Genomic DNA, 17,220 nt, shown 5'->3' with positions numbered 1-17,220 from the left:
AAAAAAATAGACAATTCAAGGTAGATGTTTTTCTTTAAATGACTTACTGGAAAGATACTGGAGTATGTTAAGGAATCCAAGAAAGCATTGAACAAGCAAGCTTCAGGTGATTTTAATGTGCAATCACATTTAAACTGCTCTAACGAGCTTCATTTAATATAATTATGGGGCAAACAACTCCTGTATCAATGGGTTTCTCTCAATTCAAAACGCAGAAGAATCCCAAGGACAGGGAAATGGAATGTTTCAGAGTGACTAAGATGTATATCACTGGCTGGATGATCAGGGCCTTAAGGAGGCGCATGAACTGGAACATGGATGCAGGGACACGTTGTTCTGGTTAACTGGAACTGAAGAGTTTCCTAGGACATGGCACTTTGAGTGATAAAACTGGGACAGTCCCAGGCAAACCAGGACGATTGGTCACCTTTGCAGGGAGACACTCCTCTGAGTCAGGATAAGACACAGTTTTCAGGGATAGTCAAGCAGCCCCATAGCACATCCTCATGTTATGCAATCTTCACGTTTGCAGAACCCATACCATTCGAAGTATTTTGTGATTGGTTTTTGTAGGGGAGAGCGTGTAGAAAGGGATATGGGTGTGGGGATTTATTCCACAGTACTACATACAGTAAAAGTTTAATGCAACCTCATTGTATTTAATACGGTATATTTCAAAGAATAGAAAAAAAAACTGAGGTAAATTTGGTAACTTAGATTATAGAAATTATTTTATGAGTTAGTATACCAAGCAGCAAGTCTTAAATATATACAGTGAAAGAAATAACTTTTACTTTATAAATCCTATACTCATGCTCTAAGATACTTTAAATCAGGTTCATAACCAAAACTAAAATCACAAAGGCAGAAATGCAAAATGTGTCAAACATGTTATCTCTGACAGCCAAATGTCACCCTTTTCCACATTTTAAAATGAAAATATTACAAACAGTAGGGCATTTTAATTTAAAAATGGCATGTTATTTCCAGTGTCTGCTTGCCAGTCAGACTTGGCCAAATGACTTCTTATTGAATCTTAATTATTTTTAACTCAGTAAACTAAGGCACTGTTTAGTGATGAGACAATGGTAAGAGGAGAGGTACAAACACTTATATAGGAGTTTTTTTTGTTTGTTTTGTTTTTTTTTTTTTTTTTGAGATCAAGTCTTGCTCTTATCCCCCAGGCTGGAGTGCAGTGGCACAGTCTCGGCTCACTGCAACCTCCGCCTCCCAGGTTCAAGCAATTCTCCTGCCTCAGCCTCCCAAGTAGCTGGGACTACAGGTGCACGCCACCACACTTGGCTAATATTTTTGTATTTTAGTAGAGATGGGGTTTTACCATGTTGCCCAGGCTGGTCTTGAACTCCTGAGCTCAAGCAATTTGCCCACCTCAGCCTTCCAAAGTGCTGGGATTACAGGCATGAGCCACCGTGCCCAGCCCTAGGAGTTCTTTTTTCTGACTGTAATAGCATATCAGGAAAAAGGAGATCACAACAACCTCTTAAATTATATACTCCATGGAAAATGTAAATCATTCACTACATTGGGCATTCTAGAAATATACAGCACAGCTTCTAGGAGAAGCAGGAAGATCAAGAGGTCCCCAGGACTTCCAGACCAAAATAAACAATCCTGGTGGTACAAGGCATTTGGGAACACAAAAGGTAATTTGTTATATACAAGAATGCTGGGTAAGTTGAAATCTTCCCTTCAGCAATATAAAGGAGAGGACCTACAGTAGATTTAACATTGGAAGTTCAACACTGACTGAAGATATATTCTGCTAAAGAAAACCAGTGTCCTTGGAGGGTGGAAGGAAGAACTAATCAATATAATACTGGACCAACCTAACAAGGAATGCCACCCCACTGACAAGAACCACAGCTACAAAACTCCCAATCGAAACATGTACAAATAACTGCCTGTGATGCACATTTTGACAAATGCAAACTAAGAAATAATCTTGCCGCATGAGTGTGGAAGCAGCCAGTTCTCACAATTTCAGTGCCCCCAAAAAAGATTATAATCATGTGGGCAATCAATGTTAAAATCTCAAAGAAACACAAAGATATAAAGGGCAGTGTTCATCCCAAGGGACACGGTGACTCTTCTGGGGCATAGTTTTCTCGCTTGCCTACATTCTAAATCTGTAATTCCTTAAATAAGCCACGGAAAATGGTATATATTCCTTAAAATACTGAAATGATTAATACGGTAGGCCAAATAACAAAAACAGAAACTATGATAAAACTTTGCTTGTTCTCTAGACAGAAACTAATTCAGTCAATGTTGAAAACAAAGAAAATAATTCAGATTAAGTATAAATTTTAATTACCTAAAAATAGCTTTTCTAGTTGACTTTTACCGGAAATGCAGTGTTTGTTACCTCAGCATTTACCCTAAATGGACTTCTCTCTCAGCAGCACAAGCCCTCTGCTAGAACAGTGCTCTCACAGAAAACCAGAGAGACATTTTATTGGGGAAATTATGAGGCATTTTTCCATATACTTCTTCGTCTCCATTTGCCTGAGCTGGTTTTGTTTTGAGAGTGCTCCAGTGTTCAGCAAATCCTTTCAATGTTTTGCTATTTTCCCACTTCGAGACATGAGGCATCTTGCAGAGGAGCAGCATCTGAATTCCTAGGTTGGGGAGTTCCTCTCCTTCCTCCTCCCTTCGCTTTCATTTCTAACCATATTCTAAGCCTCATTCCTAGGAAAGCTTACCATAGGAAGTCTGCTCTGTACCACACCCAAGACAACCACAGCGGGAGGACATTCAGGTTACCCCATCTAAAAACATCTGTTCTCCAACCAAGGAGCAAGGGTTTATGACCACCTGAGGGTCATATCAAATGGAAGAAAGGATTCAACAGTCTTCATAGAGGGTTTTGCAGAGACCACACTGCTGAACGCAAGTTTTTATTTCCCTGGTTCTTTGGTACCCAGACACACAATGACAAGCATTTGGCACAAGCACCAGTCGCCAGGGTGACCATCTCTGCAAGCTCAGTCCCTCCAGTCCTCTGTTTCATAGCTCTGGTAGCTCAGATTTATGTCCCTGTATTAGTCCATTTTCACACTGCTATTAAAGACATACCCAAGAGTGGGTAATTTATGAAGAAAAGAGGTTTAATTGACTCAGTTCTGCATGGCTGGGGAGGCCTCAGAAAACTTACAATCATGATGGAAGGGGAAGGAGAAGCAAGTAACTTCTATCACAAAGCAGCAGGAAAAAGAGAGAGAGCGAAGGGGGAAGAGCCCCTTATAAAACCATCAGATCTCGTGAGAATTCACTGACTGCCATGAGAACAACATGGGGGAAACCACCCCCATGATCCAATCACCTCTCACCAGGTCCCTCTGGGGACCACATCTGGGGATTACTATTCAAGATGAGATTTGGGTAGGAACACAAAGCCAAGCCATTATCAGTCCCCTTAGGTTCTAAGCCCATTGTCTATATCCTAAAAGACAGGAGCCTGTAGATCCATAGGTGATACTTCTAGAATTGAAAAAGCAAACAAATTTCCTTTTTCTCTTTCACATTTATCATTAGGTTAAAAAGAAAATAATTGCTTAAAATCTTAGCACTCTAGCTCAGAAAAGCCTTAATATCTAGCATGGACAACCCATAGGCCCGGTGGCTCTTGTACTTTTACAACCCCATTCCAAAACCCCACAGACCAAAACCTGAAGGCTAGTAAGGAGGAACATGAGTCAACAAATGACCTCATTCTCCATTTGTTTACAAACTCCACTGATGTCTGTGGTTTCCAACTGATCATTATTTTAAAAATGGGTGAAATAGTGTGAGATCTCAGAGCACTTTTCTTTTCTCTCTTTTCTTTTTTCCTTTTTTTTTTTTTTTTGAGACAGTCTTACTCTGTCTCCCAGGCTGGAGTGCAGTGGCGAGATCACAGCTCACTGCAACTTCTCCCTCCTGGGTTCAAGCAATTCTCTTGCCTCAGCCTTCCGAGTAGCTGGGATTACAGGCACACATCACCATGCCTGGCTAATTTTTTTGTATTTTTAGTAGAGACGGTGTTTTACCATGTTGGCCAGGCTGGTCTCACACTCCTGAACTCAGGTGATCTGCCCACCTCGGCCTTCCAAAGTGCTGGGATTACAGGCGTGAGCCTCAGAGCACTTTTCTAAAGCCAAAAAGTAAACTCTGGAGTTGCAAGCCACCATAGAGCTTCAAGGTGTGTCTCTGAGCACACACACTTGCCTAAGCTATCCCCATGGTACTGCTAGGGGTCAGGATGGGCCCAGCCTCCACTAAATGATGCTGCTCACAGCAGGACTGCTGACTCCTGGGTGATCTTCAGCAGGAACTCAAATCAAAGGCTCCAATCCAAGGATCTTAAGGTGAAACCCTTAAAGCCCTCCAATGCATGCCCAAACAGAACCTTAAGACAAACACAAAGAAAAGAGAAGGCAGCTTTGAGAAATGAAAGAATGAAAAAGTACCTGAGGCTGTGAACTTGCTGTCATTCATCAGGAATAAATTAGAGGTAGACACTCGGGCCTGGGAGAGAGAGAGGACTCAGCTTCATTGCAGACACTGTCTTCAGAGGACCAGTTCCTTTAAATTAAGGAGTTAATTTACCAAGTTAAATTTTTTAAAACCTACTTACATCCTAGAGAAAGGAAATTGAAGCTGAATAATTGAATCCACCTGGTCATTAAAACCCATCACACTTTTCTTAATTGACTGCATTTTCATGGTCTATCTAAATATTTAGGAGTGCTATAAACCCACAGCTTCACAACACGGTAGTAAAGCAGCCTTTTCATAAGACTCCATGAAATATCCTATTTAGGGGCTGAAATTCTTCTGGCAAAACACCTGAAAACAGTTTCAAAGAGTGATGTACCATCCCTAAACCACAGAGACATGGCCTGTGATAGTTAGGCTTACCCTAACAAGGGGTTCGGGAAAACAGCTGTTTCGAGAATCATGAAAGGAACTGGGGCAAATTAGAGAAGAAGAAAAAAATGCATGAGGAAAGGATTAGAAAGGAAATTATTATTTTTTAAAAGTCCAGTGTCCATCTCCTAGGATCCCAGGTTAGTATGACCCAAAGTGAGCCTCTTTTGCTGACCCTGTCCTTTTTCTCAATGCATGGGGACCAGACCTTTAGAGGCAGCAGGACCTCAGGAGGTGGCTGTGTCTGTTCAGCCAAGCGGTGACTCACTGAGTAAGTAAGCGGAGGAAGGGTTTAATTGCCATGGATCTCTGACCTAAGCCAGATGACTTCGGGCGGAACTGGGTAGGTGGACTAGTCCCAACTGCCCTCATCTTACTCCATGCAGATGAACTGCCCTTTGGGTGCCCCAGTGAGAAAATGTAAACCTCCAAACCAATGGGGTTACCTGCATTTTTCATAAATGATATTGGACAAGGTCCACCATATATTATAATACACCTCACAGTCTTCCTGGAGAAACTTAAAACTACACAATCAGGGTCACTTTTAATAAGGTTCTCCAATACAGATTCTCACTAGAGTACTAATTGACTTACAATTCCACCTTTTCTTGCAGGAGAACAACAGCCCTTAGATGCCAGTCTGAAACCCAATTTCAGTTGTCTAGTAGGTGTTTTTTTCTAATCTGCAATTATTAAAGAATTTGAACGGGATTAAATCCACTCCAAATACTGATTTTACCTGTCTGTCTATAATTTGTGTAGTCATGTGAGAGTGACTATAAATTAGATTGAAAGCTTTCATTCCATTCTCAACCTGAAAAGCACCACCTTCTTGTGTGCCTTCAAAGTTATATTTGTTTGTTTTATTGTTTTTAGAGAAGTTCTCACTTCATGCATTTAATTATCAATGCCAGGGGATGCCGATGTCATCTGGAATAAGAGTCATTCTCTGGCTCTCAGAATACTTTCAGAGTGACAGATTCTACAAGTCTGTGACACCACTAGTGTATACCTGATGAAAACTTACCAGCTTCAGCACGCCAAAGCTGTGATTTCCTGTACGAAACATATTGAAACAGAGCCCTCTGTCATCGCCTGCTATTGCTAGGACAGATCTTGAACCCGTGTATCTCCATGGGGACTCTCATTGCACTGAGCTCTATAAGAAAATTCAAAAAATTCACCACCTCATTTTCAAGGTGTGAATATGTCCCGTCATTATCCATTAGGTATTGTGCACTAGCAGGGCACCTTGTGCCGACTGTGACAGAGAGCATTTTCATCACAATTCTGGACATAACTAGAGCTACCACCACCCCACCCCCTCAAGGGAAAGAAAAGACCACGGGTGTCAACATGTGCTGAAAAAGTTATTAGAATTCTGCCTTCCATCTATCACTTGCCTACAGGTAGGAAACAACCTCTGTAGTGCTACAAATGAGCTTTGGAGAAAAGAAAATTTTACTTTTATAAACAAAAAAGACCAAAGCTTAAGCATCTTTCTTCTACAAGCTTGTAGGCCCATGAGATTAGCAGAACCATACCTATTAGAATAAAATGAGTAACTCATCTATCTAAAAAAAAAAAAAAGTTAAAAATTAAAAGTGCCTCTAATCCCAGCACTTTGGGAGGCCAAGATGGAAGGATCACGAGGTTAGCAAATCGAGACCATCCTAGCTAACACAGTGAAACCCCTCTCTACTAAAAATACAAAAAAAAAAAACTAGCCGGGCGTGGTGGCAGGTGCCTGTAGTCCCAGCTACTCAGGAGGCTGAGGCAGGAGAATGGCGTGAACCAGAGAGGCGGAGCTTGCAGTGAGTTGAGACTGCGCCACTGCACTCCAGCCTGGGCGACAGACTGAGACTCCATCTCAAAAAAAAAAAAAAAAAATTAGCCAGGCATTGGCATTGTGCATGTCTATAGCCCCAGCTATGTGGGAGGCTGAGCTGGGAGGATTGCTTGAGCCAGCGTGGTTGAGGCTGCAGTGAGCCATGACGGTGCCACTGCACTCCAGCCTGAGTGACAGAGGGACAAGACCCTGTCTCAAAAAGAAAGAAAGAAGTAAAATGTGACTAATATTAACCAATATAATTAAGACACTTAATATTACAATTATTTCTCCTACTTTTCAGCTTAGCCAACATAATTTTGACTAATAACAATCAAATAAAAAACGTAGGGAGGATTCAGCAAGGACAAATGACCATCTGACACTCACATGCATTGAACGCAGCTGACTTTCTTTCTATCTCATTCTGTAATATTTTCTGATCTCAGTTCTCAATCAGCTAGTTAAAAGCATTTTATCAATCTGTAAGCATTTTACCCTTTGAAAACATTTAACCTAATAAAATTCATGGAGATATATATATATACACACACACACACAAACACACATACATATACATATAAACTGATAGGTATTCAAAATGTAATCAACATTGACACATCAATGTCAAAAATTAAACAGTCGATAGTCAACATATACTATTATTAGCTTGGTGCAAAAGTAATTTTAGTTTTTGCCATTTAAAAGTAATGGTAAAGCTGCAATTACTTTTGTACCAACCTATACGAAAAAAGAATTGTATTATTTTTACCTATACTTCCATATACATAAGGGGTAAATCCACTAGAACGCTACTGGTCACATTCGTCAAGGACACTACAAGATAAACTGGAAGAGAAAATGACAGATATTATTTGTATTTATATAATATGTATGTTAGTGTGTACCTTTCTCATCTTCTAAAGAAATTAAATTGTTATTCTCATTTTAAAAATTATCTTCTTTAAAGTATTTGTTGCCATTTTCTCCATGGCTCACTTACAAGCTAACTGAAGTGGGGGAAGTGAAAAATCAGCCATACACAAAATAAGAGAGAAGGAGAAATAGCCATCAATATGGAAGACATTTAAAGCATATAAAACTCATTTATGCAACCCTACACAAACAAAAACATTTGAAAACATGGATAAAATGTATAATTTTCCAAAAATTAAAATTTACTCTAGAAGTGATAAAATATCAGAGTTCCAATACACATAAAAGAAATAGAGGAATTGCTCAAAGAGCTAGCCCTCCCCCCTTAGAAAAAGCACCAGATCCATATGGTTTCTTGGTGGGGTGAATATTTTCTTGTTCTATTTGTTTGGCTGCTATAACAGAATACCACAGACTGAGTGGCTTATAAACAGCAAAAATTTATTTCCCACAGTTCCGGGGGCTGGGAAGCCCACGATCAAAGCAACGACAGATTTGGTGTCTGGTGAGGGCCCACTTCCCGGCTCCTAGACAACCATCTTTTCTCTGTGTCTTTACAGATAGTTATGGGAGGAAAAGCACACTCTCTGGAGTTTCCAAGGGCAAGAATTCCATTCATAAGGGCTTTGCTCTCATAACCTAATTACTTACCAAATGCCCCACCTCCTAATACCATCACATTGGGAGTTAGTAATTCAACATAATAATTTTGCAAGGGCATACACATTCAGTCCACAGCATTTACCCAATTTTTAATGCAGCTGATTCTAATGCTACTTAATCTGTTTCACAGTATGGAAGGGAAGAAAGGCTTGTATAACACAGTTATTAAAACTCAATAAAGATGACACAACAATGGAATTTTTAGACCAGTCTTACTGTGAACATTATGTCTTCAGTGAGTGAAGGTAGTTATTTTAGAGACAGCAGACTTTAGAAGAATTTGATCCAGTTGGAAGGCAGGCCCTGAAAGAATGCCACCCCAAAATTACAAAACTTCAGGTCCATTAATTACTCATGGCTTGAATTTTATGAGTGGGAGCACAATAGCAGGAATCCCAAGAACTGTTTTACAAAATACGGATTGCAGATGACTGGCTTAGAAATCACCTGAAATGCATGTTACAAATGCAGATTCAGGAAACTCACCTGGACTTGCTGAATCAGAATCACTCAGTGTTGAGGCCAAGAAATTTGACGTTTAATAGGTACCTCAACTGCTTCTTCTGACCAGTGAAATTTAAAAACAATTATAGTGCCTAATAGTGGTTCTTTCCATGATTCCTACCATGTACAATAACATTACTTGCAATGTTAACTTTCTCAAGTGAGGTATTTGAATTATCAATTAACCAAGACAATGTTATTTTTATTTGGCCAGAATGTGTTGGTCTATGTATCGTTATGATTCTATCCCAGTATATTTTATGATGTTTATTGTTTAATGAAAGGTTTATAAGAACTTAAAATACTATTTTAATAGGCTTATTTCCTTTAGAAACCACCTGCAGTAGCCTCTTTCAGGTTGTGCCATTTTCATTATAATGTAATACCAACTGACCATTCATTCATTCAATAACAACAAATGTTTACATAGTGCCTGTTATGTAATTCACCCTGTACTAGTTACCGTTTAAAATAATGTATTGTTTCTTCATTCATCAGTCTATTTTTCTTTATACAATTGTAAGAATTTTAATAACAATCCCACCCTCTTAAATTATAACAAAATAATCCTTTAGTTGGTTTTAATATCTTGCCTCACATCAGTTTTAGCTACACTAGTTATAGCTAATTTGCTAGACAGATGCAGGCAACAACCTCAAGTTCATTTTGTTTACATAAAGATTTTCTGGATTTGCTGTTGGGTAGATTACACTCAATCGAGTTGTAATTGTATAAAAAAGGCATTTTACAGGCCAGTTTTTATAGGCAAAAATCATACTTGCTATGGAAGTAATTCCTTCTTTTTGCTCATGCCATTTATTTCTCTTACCATTTTTCATAAGAAAATATAGTTCTTATTGTGGAGACTTTCATTCATTCACTCAGTCATTCAAAGTTACCAAATACTAGTTACTTTTGAGTGGTAGGAAAGAGTAGAGAATAAAATTAAGTTTCTGCCTTTACCTCAAGTAACTTACACTGTTTTTAATTGTTTCATTCATATATTAGTAATTTGGGTTATTGATATAATGAGTAAAAGTAGTAAATCTGTTAATATTGTTTAGAATATTAATATTTATTGCTAAGGCAGTTGGTGATGACTATCTAACCTTTATCATGGTAACAGTAAATTGAGAATAATAAAGAGAAGGCTTTTTCTCATTCCTTTCACTTTGGGTAAGAAATATAATTTCTGGATTTGATCTTACTGTGAATTATGGGTGATCTTTAGAGGGTGTCTTTCATTATTTTATCACTCACCAACTTCTGAAATCCCCACCCCACCATTCCATGCAGGATCAATATATCACAGCTGTCACCGAATCCAGCTGTTGGTTTATTTAGAACACTATGCAAATGTTAATGACATCTTTAAGAGAGTGTTTTAAAAAACAAACGCCTGCTCCAAATTTCCCTGTAGCTCTTAAAAACATTACCATTTTCAAATTCAAAGCTTTGTACAGTAAAACCTAATTTTAAAAAAACAATAAGATGTTTACCAAAGTTAGAGAAAAATAACACAGGTACAAACTAGACTGTCTTCCAATTATATTATGCTGATTCTGATCATGGAATAACTGATCAGAACCTTGTCAATTTTAATTCTACTCTTCAGGCTCCTGATTAAGCATCCTTCCACAGTAACTTCATCTGACATCCCCCTGCATAGTAAAACTTTGCCCTTTGGCTATATTTAACACATTACTTAATGTTTTATATTGCTTTCCCAGACTTAAGAATTAACAAAAGTATATTACCAAAAAGCACTATATATAGTACTATATAGAGAGTAATACAAAGTACTGTATGTAATCTACTAGATATATGAAATCTTTTCATATAGCTACATATATTAATAATCACGATGATATACATCAAAACATCAATAGTGTTCACATCTGAATTGTGTGGTTCAAGGTATGTGTGTGTCTTCTAATGCCTTATAAAATGAATATATTTCTCCTTTTGAAAGTAGTATGAAGTATTTTTATTGATGACTGACTAATATAACATTATATCCCACTTGTGGACAGGATGCATAATATATGCATTTATACCTTTGCAACATTTTGCAATGATAGAAACATAGAGGACATAGATGCTCTCAGTAAGAAGTCTGAGTTGTCTAGAATGGAATGGAGCAGAAACAAATCATTTTATCATTATCTATGTCCAAACTGGCCAAACAGTATCCTCATCAGCACCTCACTATGAAATCTGCCATTTTAAGACATTAAACTGGTGGTTTTCGCCTGGGAGAAGCACTGCCCGCTCCTGCAGGGGTAGTTTTGAAATGTTTTAGATCATGTTTTTGTATCGTCTAATAACAAGGTAAGGCAAAATGGTATTTAGTGAGTGCTGGCCAGGAATGCTAAATATCCTATCGCTTTTGGCACATATCTACAGAAATAATTGTCTCTCTCAAAATGCCAGTAGTCTACTTTTGAGAAAGCTGGTTGGATTCGCCACTTATTTACTCCCTACTCGTAAAAAAAAAAAAAAAAAAAAAATCACATAAATAAAAAATCAAGACTTTAGGATTTCATATCACACCATGTGCCCCAAAGAGTGTGTGGCAAATTAAAGATGGCCTCACGTTTTTCACACTCTTCTCATCAAGGGAAGTATTCCCTCTGGCAGCTTTGACCAGACATGGCCCATTCCTGGGCCTAATCTTTAAGTGAATGGATTACTTCTGTCCTGATCTCTTAAAGTCCAGCCAGCAGGGAAAAGGAAGACTACTTTAGCCCAAATCACATTGAGAGGCCTTGGAAAATGAGACACCATGTGGACAAAAATGACCAAGGAATACGGAGGTGCCAAATATGTGAGTGAAGAAGCCATCACGGAAGTGGAGCCTCCAATTGATCTGCAACTCCAAATGAAGCCACGCAGAATAGAGATCACAGTGACTCCTTCCTAAATTCCTGACCTATCCAACATTGTGGGCAAAATAAAATGGCTGTTTTAAGCCCCTAAACTGTGTCTTTTTATCTTGAGTCCAGCTCCTTTGCTTCCCAGAAATTCAAAATGGAGAACTTGTTAGATTTTAATGTGTTTCTAGAGAACATGTGAAACAGTATTTTCCTTGCAACAAACCAACCTTAAATCTCCAAGAGGATACTGGCAACTATGTCAAGTATTGTTTTCGCTGTTAAAAGTGATCCTGTTTTTGATGCAGTAAACATCTATAATTACCTACCGAACTCTAGCTAAACTAAAATGGACATTAATATGTTTTGGATGTTTCTCCCCTTCCAGTCTCATGTTGAAATGTGACTTCCAGTGATGGAGAGGGAGCCTGGTGGGAGGTGACTGAGTCATGGGAGAAGATCCCTCATGAATGGCTTGGTGCCATCCCCTTGGCGATGAGTGAGTTTTGCTTAGTTAGTTCACATGAAATCTAGTTGTTTAAAAGTGTCTGAGGGGCTGGGTGCGGTGGCTGAGGCAGGAGAATTGCTTGAACCTGGGAGGCGGAGGTTGCAGTGAGCAGAAGTCGCGCCACTGCACTCCAGCCTGGGAGACAGAGCGAGACTTCAACTCAAAAAAAAAATTAAAAATTGAATTAAATTAAAAATTAAACAAATAAAAGTGTCTGGGACCTCCCCCTTCTTTCTCTTATGCTCTCGCTCTCATTATGTGACACGCCTGCTCCCCCATCCCCTTCTACCATGATTGTAAGCTTCCTGAGCCCGTCACCAGAAGCAGATGCTGGCACCATGCTTCCTGTACTATCAGCCGAATCATGAGCCAAAATATAACTTTTTTCTTTATAAATTACTCAGTATCAGGTATTTATAGAAAAAAAACACAGAGTAATACAGATGTCAAATAACCATCACACTGATTGTCTCTCCATTATGCTATTAATTTAATTTAATTATATGACATAAAATTATAGTATACATGTCTCTGCGACTGAACTGAAAACTCCTTAAGGACAAGAATGGTGTCTGCTGCATTTTTTGTGTTCTGCTATAAAACACAGTGCTATGCATATGGTATGTGTTCCACAAACATTTGTGAATGTTTACAGTGTAGTCTATCATTCGAAATTTGTTCTTTCAGTTAAACTCAGCATCACTTCCTTCCAGCCTTATGTTTTAAAGCCCTCATGCTGGCAAGGCGTGGTGGCTCATGTCTGTAATCCCAGCACTTTGGGAGGCCAAGGCGGGTGGATCACCTGAGGTCGGGAGTTCGAGACCAGCGTGACCAACATGGAGAAATCCTGTATCTACTAAAAATACAAAATTATCCAGGCATGGTGGCGCATGCCTGTAATCCCAGCTACTCGGAAGGCTGAGGCAGGAGAATCACTTGAACCCAGGAGGCGGAGGTTGCAGTGAGCCGTTATCGCGCCATTGCACTCCAGCCTGGGCAACAAAAGTGAAATGCCATCTCACAAAAAAAGCAAAAATTAAATAAATAAAATAAAGCCCTCATGCTCTTGACATAATCTCATGTTTTCCATAGAATCCTAATCCATGAAAGACTGACAGTATGTCATCTAGCCAAATGTCATTATTTTACAGATAAAGACATAAATGACTTGCTCAAATTAATGAAGTTATTTAGTGCATAGTAAAGCCATTGGCAACTTAAAATTATTCCCTTTAACTGATAACTAGCAGGTGGGCCTAGTCAGCCAAAAAGTGTTGGAATTCCTGTGCATGGAAGGCCTAACATGTAAGAAGCAGGCAAAAAAAAAAAAAAAAAAAAAAAAAATATATATATATATATATATATATATATATATATCGCTGCAGAGATTGAAGAGAAACTTCACTTATGTCCTAATCTGTCTTGAGCAGGAGCTAATGTGGACCACTATCACTCACAAAATTTGAAGAAAAAAGATGCCAGAAGACATCAATGTGAAGGGGCTAGATGACTATGAGGCAATAAAGATTTCTTTTTCTAATTAGTTCTACAGAGTAAATCATAAAATCAGATATCTCTACTCTGAAACTCTTTATTAACAGCTGTTTATTGTACTGTTACAATAATGTATGCAAGATGCTAGTTTGATAGTTGTGCTTCCACTTCTTAAATAAACTCAACTGTCAAAAATCAGGAGCAAATCAGGACTGGAAAGGCTGTCACTAGATGTAGGAGAGCAAACCTATCTTACATTTCTGTCCTATATATGTACATTTTCAGTAAAAACAGATCAGGAATGTTTAAAATACTAACCAGTGAAAGTGCAGGGATAGACGGTGTATATGCTTTCTTGAAAATCACAGGAAAACTCAAACTAGGTTTTTAACCACAAATTATACTCAGAAATATCTGTGACATCGTTACCACAGGACAAGGTAAGAGCACACTTCTCTCCATGCAGAAGCCAAAATGGACTTGTAGAGTTGTTCCTAAAAACACTGAATGATAGGGCTTTAGCACAATAAAGGATAGTCTCATTTTATTAATCTGCACCACTACACATAACAAAAAAGCAAAAGGAATTGTTTGGCTCTATATGGAACCTTGGGTAAGGGAGCCTCTTCATGACTTATTTTATTTTATTTATTTTATTTTATTTTATTTGACACATGTGTAGGATATGCAGGTTTGTTACACAGGTAAACGTGTGCCATGGTGGTTTGCTGCACTTATCAACCCATCACCCAGGTATTAAGCCTAGCATCTTCATGACTTTAACTAAGGTATAGGACCCAGCCTTTGGAGATGCTGCTATGGAGAATAAATCCCAATGTCGCTGCTCATAGATTTCTGGTAGGAATCATCATTTATTGAGCATCTACTATGTTCCAGGCACTGCAGAACACGTGCATTCTCCTTAATCCTTATCACAATCCCACAAGCAGGTATTGCTTCTACTTTTAAACATAAAGAGGGAAGCGAGGACAAGATGACCAACTAGAAACAGTGGCGATCAGAGGCTCCCATTGAAAAGAAACATAATTAGTGTGGGAATCCTTCCCTGTCACTGGCAACGAAGGTATGCAGGTTCTCTCATCAGAACTGACTAGGTGGCTGACGTGATCCACAGAGAGGAAGGAAGAGCAGTGTGGTGCGGTGGCCCACTTCAGAGCCACACAAGGCAGGGGAGCCCCCACCCCACAGCCAAGGGAGGCAGTGAGTGAGCATGCTACCATGCTTTCTCCGTGGAACCGTGCAACCCATGGATCGGAAGATCCCACTTGCAAACCCACACCACCAGGGCCTAGGGTCCCAACCCTGGAGCTGCGCAGATTCTCAACAGCCTCTCAGCTGGAATATGCCTAAGCCTGCCAAGCTCCCGGGGGAGGGGCAACCGGCACCACAGCTATGGCTGCCTGAGCTCCTTGGGGGACGGACAGCAGCCAGCACTAGGACTCATAACTGCCTAACGCACTAAGCTCCCTGGGCAGAGGAAGGGCAGCATCCATCTCCATAGGTCCAGGCCGCAATTTTTCCCTGCTGGAGCCAGGGAGGCTGGATGGCTTGGTCCCCAAGAGGTGTCCCCCATAGCCCAACACACCGACTATGGCAGACTATGGCCACAGCATCTGCTCAGGCCTGACTCTGACACATCCTTCCTCACTGGGCGGGGATTCCCTGCAGGAACTCCAATAACTCCAGCTAGAGGCTCAGGGACAGAACCCAGATCTCCCTGGGCCTGAGCCCTTAGCGGGAGGAGTGGCCACAGTCTCTGTGGACCAGCAGACTTAGCCTTTCCTCCTGGTAGTTCTGAGGAATCCGGGCAGCCCAGAAGAGTGGGTTTCCCCCCAGTGAAGCACACCCCTTCCACCAAGGGACAAAGTGCTTCATTAAAATGGGTCCTGTTCCCCATGCCACCCAACTGGGTGAGACACTCTAACAGGGGTTGTCAGACACCCTATACACAAGCAATCCTTCTGGCATCATGTTTGTGCCCCTCGAGGTCAGAGATGCCAGAAGAAGGAGCAGGCACCCATCCTGCTCTCCAGCCTCCTTGAGTGATATCTCCAGGCATGGGAGCGAACTGGAAGAATAGGGCCCTGAAGTAAACTCCCAGCAAACCGCAGCAGCCCTACAGAAGGGGGACCTGATCATTGAAAGACAAACACACAAAGAGAAAACAACAACAGCATCAACAAAAATAAGTCCCCACAAAAACCCCATCCAAGGATCAGCAGCCTCAAAGATCGAAACTAGACAAACTCACAAAGATGAGAAAGAATCAACAACAACAAAAAAAAACACTGAAAACCCCAAAGGCCCGAGTGCCTCTTCTCCTCCAAATGATCACAACGCCTCTCCAGCAAGGGCACAGAACAGGATGAGGATGAAATGGATGACTTGACAGAAGTAGGTTTCAAAAGATGGGTAATAAAAAATTCTGCTGAGCTAAAGGAACATGTTCTAACCCAATGCAAAGAAGCTAAGAACCTTGATAAAAGGTTAGAGGAGCTGCTAACTAGAATAACCAGTTTAGGGAGGAACATAAATGACCTGATGGAGCTGAAAAACACAGCACAAGAACTTCATGAAGCGTACACAAGTATTAATAGTCGAATCGACCAAGCAGAAGAAAATATATCAGACTTTGAAGGCCACCTTGCTGAAATAAAGCACAGAGACAAGATTAGAGAAAAAAGAATGAAAGGGAACAAATAAAGCCTCCAAGAAATATGGGACTTTGTAAAAAGACCAAACCTATGATTGATTGGAGTACCTGAAGGAGATGAGGGGAATGGAACCAAGTTGGAAAACACACTTCAGGATATTATCCAGCAGAACTTCCCCAAGCTATCAAGACAGACCAACATGCAAATTCAGGAAATACAGAGAACACCATAAAGATACTCCTCTAGAAGAGCAACCCTAAGACACTTGATCATCAGGTTCTCCAAGGTCAAAATGAAGGAAAAAATGTTAAGGGCAGCCAGAGAGAAAGGCCAGGTGACCTACAAAGGGAAGCCCATTAGACTAACAGCAGGCATCTCAGCAGAAACTCTACAAGCCAGAAGAGATTGGGGGCCAATATGGAACATTCTTAAAGAAAAGAATTTTCAACCCAGAATTTCATATCCAGCCAAACTAAGCTTCATAAGTGAAGGAGAAATAAAATCCTTTCCAGACAAGCAAATGCTGAGGGATTTTGTTACCACCAGTCCTGCCTTGCTCCTGAAGGAAGCACTAAATATGGAAAGGAAAAACTGGTACTAGCCACTGCAAAAACACACCAAAATTTCAAGACCAATAACACTATGAAGAAACTGCAACAAAAAGTGTGCAAAATAACCAGCCAGCATCATGATGACAGGATCAAATTCACACATAACAATATTAACCTTAAATGTAAATGGGCTAAATGCCCCAATTAAAAGACACAGACTGGCCAATTGTATAGAGTCAAGATCCATCGGTGTGCT

At 40.0% G+C, this 17,220-nt stretch overlaps 1 long non-coding RNA gene across 2 annotated transcripts in view; it reads right to left on the bottom strand.

Moving 5' to 3' along the window:
* LOC105374971 (uncharacterized) overlaps positions 1-17,220 on the bottom strand; it is a 241,097-nt gene that overhangs the window by 185,202 nt on the left and 38,675 nt on the right. Inside the window, exons 1-4 of one of the 2 annotated variants that reach the window (XR_001744025.1) lie at positions 14,057-14,134; positions 7,533-7,609; positions 5,960-6,091; positions 4,470-4,584 (exon numbers count right to left, since the gene is read on the bottom strand). This is a non-coding gene — a long non-coding RNA (uncharacterized LOC105374971). Of the gene's footprint in view, positions 1-4,469; positions 4,585-5,959; positions 6,092-7,532; positions 7,610-14,056; positions 14,135-17,220 lie in introns of those variants that run through there. The other variant, XR_001744024.2, reaches the window with a different exon arrangement.

The sequence above is a fragment of the Homo sapiens genome, chromosome 6 (assembly GCF_000001405.40).
Source record: "Homo sapiens chromosome 6, GRCh38.p14 Primary Assembly".
Taxonomy (NCBI): domain Eukaryota; kingdom Metazoa; phylum Chordata; class Mammalia; order Primates; family Hominidae; genus Homo; species Homo sapiens.
Note: the sequence above shows the minus strand (reverse complement) of the source record. Positions and strands in the feature narration are given on the sequence as shown.